The 13,318-nt window shown below is 42.1% G+C and overlaps 1 protein-coding gene across 40 annotated transcripts in view, besides 2 other annotated features; it reads left to right on the forward strand.

Annotated features, from left to right (window-relative positions):
- The window catches only part of PDE4DIP (phosphodiesterase 4D interacting protein), a 224,583-nt gene that overhangs the window by 71,230 nt on the left and 140,035 nt on the right, over positions 1-13,318 (forward strand). For 29 of the 40 annotated variants that reach the window (NM_001377392.2, NM_001350521.4, NM_001395298.1 and 26 more), the window contains one exon: positions 10,121-10,231. The exons of 5 other annotated variants lie outside the window; for them this stretch is intronic. In NM_001377392.2, coding sequence (NP_001364321.1) covers positions 10,121-10,231 — 111 coding nt within the window. Of the gene's footprint in view, positions 1-7,709; positions 7,739-9,799; positions 9,867-9,942; positions 10,232-13,318 lie in introns of those variants that run through there. 6 more of the 40 variants (NM_014644.7, NM_001198834.5, NM_001002812.4 and 3 more) reach the window with 3 other exon arrangements.
- Positions 9,690-10,310: an enhancer, noted in NCBI's record as "H3K27ac-H3K4me1 hESC enhancer chr1:144994512-144995132 (GRCh37/hg19 assembly coordinates)". NCBI's record gives its function as "activates a minimal SCP1, AML or CMV promoter by ChIP-STARR-seq in naive and primed H9 embryonic stem cells {active_cell/tissue: H9 hESC(naive and primed)}" and the evidence as "EXISTENCE:reporter gene assay evidence [ECO:0000049][PMID:30033119]".
- Positions 10,311-10,930: an enhancer, noted in NCBI's record as "H3K27ac-H3K4me1 hESC enhancer chr1:144993892-144994511 (GRCh37/hg19 assembly coordinates)". NCBI's record gives its function as "activates a minimal SCP1, AML or CMV promoter by ChIP-STARR-seq in primed H9 embryonic stem cells {active_cell/tissue: H9 hESC(primed)}" and the evidence as "EXISTENCE:reporter gene assay evidence [ECO:0000049][PMID:30033119]".

Raw genomic sequence — 13,318 nt, forward strand, 5'->3', positions numbered from 1 at the left:
CAGGTCGTAGTCATGCCTTCAAAATTGCCTTCACTCCTAGAAAAAAATGGAGAAAGGATTATTTAAAATCTAGAGAAAAAGGTGAGCCCATAAGTCACTCTCTCTGAATTCCAGAAGCTCAGCAAATAATCTGAGTTGAACCAATTGTGAACAAATACCAAGTCCTGCTGATGTTGATTGGACCAAAGTGATGGAGAATCTAGTTTGGAGTCTGGTAATCCTTGGGAGGCCCCAGCATCACTGCAGCTCAACTGTCATTCCTGCCTTGCAGCTCATTTAACTGCCTCTGGCAGCACTATTTCTGGCTGGGCCATCTATTTTTGGTGGCCAGGGAAGTTGTTATTTGTTTCGTTTTGTTTTGATGTGGTTTACAGTGCTCTAGTGTGATGATGAAGATAACATCTGGTTATTCCAGGATTGGGGGTGTTGTGGGTGTGTTTCTATGTTGGGGAAGGCAGCAGGAACATCATCTTAACTCCTTTTCTTTATCCACATGATGAGGCTGCCTAAGACGGGGTTTATTAATCAACCTGATGCAATAGCTCTGTCATTAGTGCTCTTGTTATCAGGCAAGAAAAGGCTGTGTACAGGATGGGTATCAGTATGCTTCTGAGTGTTAGGGGAAAAAATGGAATGCTATTGTTAATATTTTAGCATTTAAGAGACTCTGGAACTTCAGGAATTATGTTAAAATTTCAGAAACAGAGTTTTAGAAGGGTGACTTGTTTGTTGATTGTACAATCCAAAAGAAAAAAGCAGGACTTTGTGGAATTCATAGTCAGTTTTCTGAAGCAGGTATCAGTAGTTGGCTTCTGAGACAAGGGCAGAAACACCATGTTGGCATAAAAGAGTTGATGAGTGGAACACCAAGTTGGTTGGCTCCGGTTGACATTTTCCTTGGTAGAATGTGGTGTGTGAAAATTATACATATTTTTCAGAACAGGCCAAATACGTATGTTTTATGTCAAAACATAGGTCATATGTTTCTGTTTTATCTGAGGGTTATCACAAAACTTTACCTTTTTGTAAAACTTAATCTGTGAATATTCAGTACTGAGAGCCACTTAGAGCATACTTCGTCTGACCCTTCTTTTAGGGCCCTATAATATAGGTAGGATTGGTATACAGAATATTTAGACATGATTCATTCTAAGCCATTTAGCTTTAACTGAACTGAATCAAATTGGACTTTAACTGAGTCTTTATCATTAAAAAAACTCTTATAAAAGATAAAGGATTGGGTTAGTTACTTCTCTCAGCTTTGGTTTATTTCTTTGTCTTCTTTTAAAAACAAAGCTTTATTCAAACGATTAACACGCTATACAGCTCATCTTCTGAAATCTTACAATTCTATGATTTTAGTATATTCAGAGTTGTGCAACCATCACCACTGTCTAATTCCAGTACGTGTTTCTCACTCCAATAGGAAACCTCATACTCATTAACACTCACTTCCCAGTTTCCCTCTCCCTGGTTCCTGGAAACCACTAATCTACTTTCTGCCTGGATTTGCCTATTCTGGACATTTCATGTAAATGGAATTATACAGTATGTGACCTTTTGTGTCTGGCTTCTTTCACATTATCGTATAATGCTGTCAAGGTCATTTGTGTTGTAGCATGTATCAGTACTTCATTCCTTTTTATGGCTGAGTAATATTCTATGATTTGGATATGCTAAATTTTGTTTATCCATTCATCAGTTGAAGGACATTTGAAATACTTCCAATTTTGGCTATTATGAGTAATGCTGCTATGAACATTTGTATATAAGATTTCGTGTGGCCATATGTTTTCAATTTTCTTGGGTATATAACTAGGAAAGGAATTGCTAGGCCACATGGTAACTCTTTGTTTAACCCTTTGAGAGCCAACTTTAGTTTATTCATCTTGAAAATGAAGAAAACAATTTTTTTTTTTTTTTTTTTTTACATAGATCCAGGTTGTCAGATCCTTTAGGGTCACCACCAGGAAGATTATTTACAGTGAAGGACACTTTTTGAAAAGGTATAGGGGGCCTGAGGTAGAAGAGGGAATACCCAGTTGCAAGTGAATCCCAGGCTCAGAAGGGTCATACAGTCTCATGATTAAGGACCTGATGCGTATGCAGTATGGGGTCAAACTGTTGGAGTTATAGTCTGTGCTCCTCCGCTTTCTCAGTGAACAAGTCAGTTAACCTCCTGATGTCTCTCTGTCCTAGGCAGTAAAATGGGGATCATCATGTCTTCCTACTTCAAAGGTTGTGGTAAAGATAAACGAAATAATACACATGGAAGTACTTTGTACATTGTCAAAACCAATGTAGATGATTGTTGTTGTGAAGATAGTATAATTGTATCTGATTAATTTTGTAATACAGGCCCAAGTCATTCAAAACAGCCAGGAATTAAACTTTTATTTGTATAATTCAGATTTTATGAGAACAGCATAGAGACGCCTAGACACAGAGATGTATTATAAATAAAATATGTGTATGTAAAATAAACCAGCCGTCTCTTCTCCCTGCCCCATCTCTTCTTGTCTATCCCCATCCCCAATCCAAAATAAGCTGGGCTCCTGGTTGTAGTTCCCTGGGTGCTAAAAAGCAGGAAATACTCCCCAGACATTTGTGTACCCTTCCCATAGGGCTGTTTTGAAAATATGACAATTAGCAAAGTTATAGGTTAAATCGTCTATTGGGCATCATCCTTGAGTCATTGTTACTGCTTTTGTCTTAGAAATATGGCGTCCTTTACATGCACTTACTGCTTCTGTAGCACAAGGCAGCCGGAGCTCTCAGTCTGAACAGGTAGACTCTCATTACCTTTTAGGGCTACAGGAGAGCTAGTGGGCATTCTGAAATTCTTCACAAAGTGATAGTTCTCTCACTGGCCTTTGGTAGGAGCGTTTCTATGAGAAAACGTGTTTCAAGCATAGAATTTCGGGATGGCCAAAGATCTTAAAAGCCCTCTAGAGCTAACTCCTAGCTGATGTGGGAAAACTTTTAACAGTATCCCTGAAAGGTGATTCTTGAGTTTTGGTCAAGCACCTTTTGTGACAGGAAGTTTATTTTGTCTCATGATGTATGTACTCAGTAAAAATTTGATGTATAAACATATGGATAGAGTGTGGCAATATCTTTATTACATCTAACTCTACTAGAGAATTCATCCTTATATCTAATTGATAACTGCCTCCCTGTAATTCCTACTTTCATTCCCTTTAAAATAGTTTTAAAAATTATAAGCTGTTTTACAAACAACAGGAATATACAAAGAATAATTAAACACTTGTCCATGTGTTGAATATCTAAATGTTAGAAAACATTATTTTTAGTTTATTTTCCTCAGGTGAAAAAACAAAAGTTACCATTACAGATACAGTTGCAACCTTCTTAGTATCCTGCCCAGATCCCAGTCTTCTGACTGTCTTCCTATACTTAACTATTAAGTAGTTTCCCCAAAATGACCCAATGAGAAAAAAGGAGAGCCGGGATTTGAACGCTGGTCTTCATGGTTCAAAGCTATTGCTCTTTTCACAGTTCCACGCTACCCACCCTAGATAAATATGTATAATAGTGATCATATTTATTGTCTATGTGTAAATTGATGTAAAGTGTCAAGGGTTACTTAAAGCACTACTCTTCTGTTTTTCTATTTGCCATATTAACTTATTTTTAAAATATTTTTATTTTCAAGGAAGGTAAAGGTAAGAATTATCCACAGATATCAAATTAGTACAGTTAAAATTGTGGAAGTTTGATTATATTTGAAAAGAATGTGTCCATTAAGAAGATTAATCATTTTTTGTTAGTGAAGCTTTATTTTTAGGAGAAAGATTGGTAAACAATTAATATGTTTTCAAGTACATACATTATATGAGCTAGCTGGGGGGTCTGAATATGATGAAGCAAATGTCAAGCTGGGTTTTTTAAAGGCAGACTTGACGGTTGGTTGTGTTAATGGGGCATGACAGGCAACAGCTGGGTGGTAATCCTCCTCCTACTGTTGGCATTGATTGAGTCTTTATTTACGTTGTATTTCTAGTCTGGACTAGAACGTTATTCCAGGGGTGGAATGAAGAAATTAAGGAAAAAGAAGGGGAGAGCCATTAAGGTTTGGAAGAAACATTCTGAGACCAGAGTAAAGATGTTATATGTACTAGGAGAAAAAGGAAGAACAAAGATAGAAGCACTTCCCCTTGCTCAAGAATCTGCAGTGTTTTATTTCCTAAGCAATGCAGAGGTTATCAACATATAGGCCTGTTTGCCATGAGCTAGTAGGTTGCCGTGTGCATCTCAGGTATGTGTGTTTTTGTTTGTTAAAGCTTTTTTTTTCTTTTCCAAGTTTCCACATGCAGCGCTGATGTTTGTTAAAGCTGCAAGAAAACAAATAAGTAAAACAAAACCTAAGCAATACACAAAGAAAATAATCTTCCCAGTCAGCAGTTCCTGGCCCTCCCCACCCCCACTGCCCTCCTCCCCACCTCCACTTCCCTTCCCCTCACTCTTATCCAGATTGAGAGCCAGGATCCTGGAGGGGCAAACTCCAGGCTTCTCACCCTGGCTTTCAAGATCTCCTTGAGACGGCTTTTTATTTCCCCTCATCTCTGTGGCCTATTTCAGGACAGTATGTGCCCTTTGCTTTGGCCTGGTGGGCACACTGCCCTTTCGCTTATGTTCCACCTGCCTGGACTGCCTTGTGTTCTCCCCACTGCCTATCCAAGCTCAACTCATCCTTTGAGACAAGCTAAAGTGCCAATTCTCTGTGGTACCTTCTCTGGCCACCTCTCCTTCCTAATTTTTATAGTTTTTACTTTTTTTTTTTCTGAGACGGAGTCTTGCTCTGTCACCCAGGCTGGAGTGCAGTGGCATGATCTCCGCTCACTGCAACCTCTACTTTCCAGGTTCAAGCAATCATCATGCCTCAGCCACCTGAGTAGCTGGGACTACAGGCACATGCCACCACGCCCGGCTAATTTTTGTATTTTTAGTAGAGACGGAGTTTCACCATGTTGACCGGGCTGGTCTTGAACTCCTGACCTCATGCGATCTGCTCACCTGGGCCTCCCAAAGTGCTGGGATTACAGGCATAAGCCACCGTGCCTGGCCCAGTTTTTACTATTTGTACAGTTCATATTGTCCTTTATAATTTGTCATATACGATTCCATATTTGTTCGGAACTGTTGTAGAAAGTCCAGATTCTGCATGGTGTATTAAAATGAGTCTGTTAGAGTAATTTATTTTACTTATAATCTTTTTATAAGGAGGAATGCTACTAGGTATGCTTTTTATCCTAAAACATCTACATAATCTTGTGTATCGATTAAGTTGTATTACTCCAATGAGAAATAAATCAGCAGGTTAATTACTCATCCATTCTTTAATTCAACAAATATTTATTGAGCACCAGCTATGTATCAGGCACCGTTCTGGGCACTGGTGACACAGCAGTGAACAAACTAAGAAAACATCCCACTTTTCTCAGGAAGTTTACATGCTGGTGGGGAGAGACAGACAAGAAACAAAATAAATAAGAAAATGTATTTTAGAAGGTGATAGTGCTACGGAATAAAAAACAATGAAGGGGGATTCGGAGAGCTGGGATGAGGCATGGGGTGCCTAAAGAGTATTCACTTCACCAAGAAGGTGACATTCAATCAAAGATGAAGAAGGTGAGGAGAGAATCGTGCACCTCCCTAGAGAAAGAGCAGCCAGGCAGAAGGGTCAACAAGTTCAAAGGCCTCGGAAAAGAAAGCTTCTCTTGCTTCCTGTTTTTGAGAAATAACAAAGAGAAACAGTGTGGCTACAGCAGAGAACAGAGGGAGAGTGGTAGGAAGAAGTAGAGGAGGTAATAGGAGAGGCAAGAAGAGGGTGTAGGGCCTCAGGCCTTGCAGTCTGGTGAAGGGACATCACCTTTCACTCTAAGTTAGATGGGAAGCCAGGGGGCTCTCCAGCAGAGGAGTAATCTGACGTATTTTGAAAGGGTCACTGTGGCTGCTGTGCTGAGAATAGACTACAAGGGAACAAGAGTGGGAGCAGGAACACCAGTTAAGGGGCTATTCAGATCATGTAAGGAAAAGATGGCAGTACTGTGGGTCAGGGTGGTAGAAATACCAGTGGCAGTAGTGGTAGTATAACATATATATAAAATATATATATAGTAGTATAATAGTATATATAATATAGTATTATATATTACATACATAATACAACAGCTACAACATATATATTATACTACCATATATGTTATTAATATATATACTATAATGTAGAATATACATAGTAAGATTTACAGACAGATGATATGTAGGAGAGAGAATGAATCAAGAAATGACTCAAAGGTTTGGGCTCAAAAATCTGAAAATATTGAGTTGTTACAAGTTGAAAAAAGGTGTAGTGAGGGAGGAGCATGTTTACTGGGAAAGATCAGGAGTTCAGTTTTAGATATCACAAGTATGTGATGTCTAAATTCAAGCAGAGATTTCTACTAGACAGTCAGATATCAATTGGAGTTCAGGGAAAAGATCAGGGTGGGCATGTAAACTTAGAAATGTAAGTGAACAAAACGTCATTTTTCTACGTCTTCTAGAATAAGTGTTCTACCAAATATAGTTTATTTAGGACTATTAAAACAAACTTTTTTCATATTATTGGAAATCTATGAGAATAATACAGGTGAGCCAGCCCATATATAACAAAGCAAAACGTACAATGTTTATGGAATATTTTCCTGTTCATTGATTCCACAAATATTTAGGGAGTGCTTCCTGAGTACTATGCAACAAGAATACAAGGACACAAAATATGCCTTGTCAGCTCTCAAAACACTCTAGCCAGGTTGAGGTCATCGTAAACAGACTGTGACAGCACAATGGGATGAATGCTGTTGGAGAGGTCTCAGGTTGTTATGGAAGCTGTAGGAGTTTATGAAGATGTATTAGTTAGTCATTGACTTTTTCCTTGGGCAGCTTCAGACTAGTTGGAAAGATCAAACACACAAAAAGTCGCGTAACTCTAAAAGATGTAAATAACCCTTCAAGATAACAAAAGCCACATCATAAGGCAGCATATGAACACTTGTTGAATGTTAATATCTGCCTTAGAGTTCAAAAGAGGAAGAAGTCTTTCCAGGCTAGGGTAAGAGGAAAGGCTTTGCTTGGGTGGAATTTGGGAACACTCAAGTTGAATGATCTAAGCCAAGAGTTGAATATGTACGGCTAGATCTTGGGTGAGAAGACTCGGTTGGAGATTTGGGAATTGTTTCGAAGGTGAAAGTATAGCCCTAAAAGTGGATAAAACCTCCATGGATAAAAATGTGAAGAGAAAAAAAAGTAGAAGGCTGAGGACTTACCATCATTTAAATACCCACTTTCAGGAGCTGGCAAAAAACACAGAAAAGGATCCAGAGAGATAGAAGAACAAGATATCATGGAGGAAATAAGCATAAATGTCCAACAGAAATCTAGGATGCATAAGAATACCCTGGATTCATACACAGTTTTACTTCCTGTAAAACTTTTATGAAATTATTTTACCTGATAAAGGAATCTAAGTAGACAGCCAAAGCATGATTAAACACTTATCTAAACTCTGGCAGCCTGGCTCCCCTTGAGCAAAATGGAGGTGATATTAACTGGGTTATCACCTTGAAGAGCTTAGACCAGGAAAGGGCCTTAAAAATCACTAATTTTGGCCAGACGCGGTGGCTCATGCCTGTAATCCCAGCACTTTGGGAGGCCAAGGCGGGCGGATCTCAAGGTCAGGAGATCGAGACCATCCTGGCTAACGCTGTGAAACCCTGTCTCTACTAAAACAATGAAAAATTAGCCGGGCGCGGTGGCGGGCACCTGTAGTCCCAGCTACTCAGGAGGCTGAAGCAGGAGAATGGCTTGAACCCAGGAGGCAGAGGTTGCAGTGAGTTGAGATTGCACCACTGCACTCCAGCCTAGGCAACAGAGCAAGACTCTGTCTCAAAAAAAAAAAAAAATCACCAATTTTTAAAGCCATTTCATTTTTTAAGTGAGGACAGTTAGGCTTCTAGAGAAATGGTCTATAACATAGCTATTTAGTAAGAGAACTGGGAATGGAAAAGGATATTTTGAGTTGTTTTAACTTAGACTTTTTTCTTCACTGTCTCTAACTAAGCCTAGTTGGCATTCTCAAATTCTAAGAATTCAGATTTAGTGAAAATAGTTAAATGGATTTTAAATGTGTAGTTTTTTTTTTTCAAATGGTAAATATTTGGGCTTGCCTATTTTGCCTATTTATAATCTAAATCTATTTGGGAGAATGCTTCACTCTAATTATGCCCTCCTGGGGCCACTTTATCCACTCAAACATTTTTTATTTTTCAAGGCAAAGTGCAAATTCAACTCCTAATGAAGCTTTCTCTGATCACCCCAGTAAGAACTGACTACTCTTTCTTACGGGCTCCCCCAGAGTCAACGTTTTTTAAACTCAGGCTGAAACTTATTAGTGGGTCATGAAATCCGTCGGGTGGGTCACTGGCAGAAAAAGAAATAGGAAATATCAGAGGACATCACACATAGTGATGGTGACAATTACTTTTTGAAACATTTACTTCAGTTAAGAGTGTATGCATATGTACTAGATGGCAATGTAACATACAAAAGTTGAAAAACACAGGTTTGGAGGATCATAATGTAAAACACATATCTTAACATATCATGGCCAGCTGTATGGCCACGTAGCTCTTTGAGGGTTGGGACATTCTTGATCTATATATCCCTCATGCCCAATGTCCTACCTGGTGAGTACTCAGGAGTTGTTGACTGGAATGATTATGAAGGTTTGAGAAGGAATTGGAAGAATGAAAAGCAGGTAGGTTGGGGAGGAAATGAGGGCTTGAATTAAGTGTAAATTTTGTAGTTTCCTTTATCTTGAATGTTAATATATATTTTTTCAACCTAATATTATTGCCACAAAGAACCCGTGTTTGTTATCTGTGCTCTGGGGTTGTCTCCCATCACCTTCAATGTAATGTGGTATAAATAATACTTCCTGCTAATGTTGCAGCTGTCACTCAAGGATCTTAAATTACTTTAGGAGCAAGATCTGGTGATGAGTGCCCGGCTCCACTTGGCAGGTGCCAGAGTTAAGAACCAGTGACTGCCTGAAATCTTTGGGCTCCAGGATGACGGCTCCCTCTCTGTCATCCTCCCACACTCTCTTCTGCCCATCCCTTCTTCCATGGAGGGAGGATCCCTTGACCCTGCCTCTTTCTGAGCTTTGTAACTGGTAAATAGAGTCTGCAAAGATTCCGCTGAGCTAGAAGATTTGCTCTTTCTTTGCGGGTAGCTATGGTGTGTTTCGGGGGAAGGCTCATGGCAATAAAGGCTATTAGTTGAACTGCCTCAGAGCTCAAAAAGCTTGGGGCTGAAAACTGCAAAGGAACTCATTAGAAGTGAGCTCTGGATTATCAAAGGAAATTGAGACTCCTCTGGTTAGAAGCTCTTTAAGATTTGCACTGGACAGAAAGGGGATATTTGACATGCGGTTACCTTTGTGGGCCGTTTTATGTACATGGTCTTTTCTATAGCAACCTTATTTCTTGCTTCTGGCCACACTCCTTTTGGTCTTATAGTCCAAATCAGCCACAAGTCATTTAAATACCCCCTCCCCACCCTCTATTTCCTTCTCTTCTTTGCAAACCCACTGTCACCTTGAATATCTCCCCTCCCCCTTTCCTGGAAGCTCTTGGGGGTCAGTCTCTCTTTTCCGAGAAGCTGTTAACTGCCTACAGTTGGGCCTGGGAGGCTCCAGGAGGGTGACAGCAGAGTCCTGGCTTGGAGTCGGGTTACACCACTTGTGTCTGAGTTCACGCAGCATGTTCCTCTGTCAGGGATTCCGCAAATATCTCCCTGAGGTAAAAAAGGAAAGTGTGCTGCGCTCCAGCACCCAGAGCAGTGAGCCCAGTCCCGAGTCCCGGAGAGAGCTCCAGCAATAGGGGCCATGTCGCCGTAGCCCCAGCCTCTCGGTCCGCAGCCTCAGCAGCGTCCCAGCCGGCTGGCTTCATGCTGCGGTGCAGCTGCACCATGTTCCTGGGTTGAGGGGGCAATCGGGCACGCTCCTCCCCATGGGTTGCCCATCATGTCTAATGGATATCGCACTCTGTCCCAGCACCTCAATGACCTGAAGAAGGAGAACTTCAGCCTCAAGCTGCGCATCTACTTCCTGGAGGAGCGCATGCAACAGAAGTATGAGGCCAGCCGGGAGGACATCTACAAGCGGGTGAGTGCAGGGGCCCGCTTCTCCGAGGCAGGGGCAGGGGCAGGGGACGGTTTGGCCTGCCAGTTGGTCGCTATTCTAGGCTCTTCCTAGCTGGCGCTGTGCTAGTCAGCGAGAGAGGTGGGGTTTCGTCCAGCTCTGGTCACCTTAACAACCTGTGACCTTGGACAAGCTCATTTCACCTCTCTGGTGCCTGCTTTCTGCTTTCCTTCTCTGTAAAGAAAGAGGACTGGAATAAATCAGAGCCTCTCTCAAACACTGACGTGGAACTGTGCGGAACAATCACCTTGGGAGCTGGTTTAAAATGTAGATTCCATGCCTCACCCTAGGGATTCCGATGTAGTAATGTGGGGGAAGGTGGGGGGAGAGGGTGGGGCTGGGGTGGATATTTGCATTTTTAAAATTTATTTATTTTAGAAACAGGTCTTGCCCTGTTGCTCAGGCTGGAGTGCAGTGTCACCATCATAGCACTGCAGCCACCAACTCTTGGGCTCAAGTGATGCCTTCTGGCTCAGCCTCCTGAGCAGCTGGGACCACAGGCACAGGACACCAGGCCCAGATAATTAAAAAAAAAAAAATTGGCAGGGCACAGTGGCTCATGCCTGTAATCCCAGCACTTTGGGAAGCCAAGGAAGACAGAAGGCTTGAGGTCAGGAGTTCGAGACCAGCCTGGCCAACATGGTGAAACTCCATCTCTACTTAAAAAGTACAAAAATTAGCGGGTGTGGTGGCATATGCCTGTAGTCCAAGCTACTTGGGAGGCTGAGGCAGGAGAATTGCTTGAACCCAGGAGGCGGAGGTTGCGGTGAGACGGGATTGCGCCGCTACACTCCAGCCTAGGTGACAGAGCAAGAGTCTGTCTCAAAAAAAAAAAAAAAAAAAAAATTCGTACCAAAGGGGTGGCACTATGTTGTCCAGGCTGGTCTCAAACTCCTGGCCTTTAGATCCTCCCACCTCAGCCTCCACTGTTGTTGGTATTATAGGCATGAGCCACTTTGCCTGGGAAAATATGCATTTTTAAGCAAGATCCCTGAGGTGGCTCTGAAGCAGATCATCTCCAGGTCATACCTCTCCTAGAGAAAGTGCCCTCCTAGCTCCGGCTTGGTGGGGCAGAGAATGATGCTATGGAGAAAAGGGCAGGGGCTAAGGGTGTTTCCGTTCCTTGAGAAATTCATGTTTGCTTTTGAAGATGACTATGCAGATAAGCTTTTAAGACAGAATCTTAGGCATTTTTAGTCTTTGGAATAGCTTGCCTTAAAATGAAGAAGAGAGTAACCTGTGGGATAGCAGTTGGCCTGGGTGGAGTGGGAGGGGAAATGGCCTCTTCCTTGGATGGGAGGGCTATCTTGATTGATGGGTCAGTGATCAGGGTGGGGAAGGAAGACCTACTGGATTGGCTGAGCTGTGGGTGAGATAGGACAGCACCTTGATAAGAGGACATTGGGCTATGGGTTATGAGGATTAAGCCTCGTAGCTGGTCACCACAATATTGGTTTCCTCAGCCCTCTCTGTGTCTGGACAAGCAGGACCTGAAGTGGCCCAAGTGACCGGGGACTGGTTGCCTCTGACCTTATCAGAGATTCTAACTCTCCAACTGTTTACCCCAGAGGGCTATACAAATACCATTTTCTATGTGTGCTCTGTCCTGTCAAGAGGATGGATGACTGGGAAGCGATACAGGCTGCTAGATAACATCTTGGATCAGGGAAATAGCTGGTGTCTATGAGACCCAAATGATTATTTAGTTAATTCAATTAATGTGTATAGCTAAATCTGGGGGATTTAACTCTATTTCCTGTCTCTCCTGCATTTCCATGTTTTAAGTCCAAATTTTCCAGAAGTTGGTCCAGATTCACCTTTTATCTTTTACGTGGCTATGTAATGAGTGTGCCTCATTGGAGCTGCCACGTGTCAAGAAGGATATTGCCAAGTGAGGGTTGGTAACAGAGAGATGGCGAGAGACGGAGGATGAGTGGGAGGTTTTGCCTTAGGGTTAGGGTAGGAATAGTGGATGGATTTATTCACTGTGCAGAGGGAGGAACTTTCCCCATTAACTGTCTTCAGGGCAAAGAAGGAAAGGACAATTTCTTAGGTAATTTGAGGGAAAGGATTTTGTTGTTGTTGTTGTTGTTCTGAGACAGAGTCTCACTCTGTCGCCCAGGCTAGAGTGCAGTGGCACGATCTCAGCTCACTGCAACCTCCGCCTCCTGGGTTCAAGCGATTCTCTGGAGTAGCTGGGACTACAGACCCCTGCTACCACACCTGGCTAATTTTCGTATTTTTAATAGAGGCGGGGTTTTACCATGTTGGCCAGGCTGGTCTCAAACTCCTGACCTCAGGCGATCCACCCGCCTCAGCCTCCCAAAGTACTGGGATTACAGGCGTGAGCCACTGCGCCCCACCAGGATTTTTTTTTTTTTTAAAGCTGAATCAGATGGCTGTCTGGATCATTTGATCTCACTCTCTGCTCCGCCCTAGCGAAAGATCTTTAGGAAACAACTTTGGGTGGGGTGTGAGAAGGCACCATTTCTCACCTGGAGAAGTGTGATAAATGAGATTATAGGAGCTGCACAAGGTGTATGTGGGGGGAGTGGAACACAGCCTATTGTCACATGCAGAGAGGACAACCCTTTTGCTGGACTCTAGTATTGCCATGGGTCCCATACAGGAAGTAGATATGGCCCTGTCTCTATCTAGTCTTACGTGTTAGCAGAGTTGTCAGGCAGCTACTGCATCATATGATTTGAGGGATCTCAAACTACTGTATCCCCTCCTCTTCCTTCTCATCAAATGTTTGTTCAATCTGCCTGTCATATTAATTTTCTCATTTGGCTATGATTATTTGAAAAGCGCTAAAGGCTTGTGCTAAAATGTTCTTATTACTTGGGAAACAGAACACATAAAGCCATTATCAATCATTCAGAGTTGAAATTAGTTTACCACACTATGTCATGATGAGTGATTGATAGGAACTAGAGCCGTTCTGGTTTATTTTATTTTTTGAGACAGGGTCTCGCTCTGTCACCCAGGCTAGAGTGCAGTGGCACCGTCACGACTCACTGCAGCCTTGACCTCCTGGGCTCAAATGAT

The sequence above is a fragment of the Homo sapiens genome, chromosome 1 (genome assembly GCF_000001405.40).
Source record: "Homo sapiens chromosome 1, GRCh38.p14 Primary Assembly".
Taxonomy (NCBI): Eukaryota; Metazoa; Chordata; class Mammalia; order Primates; family Hominidae; genus Homo; species Homo sapiens.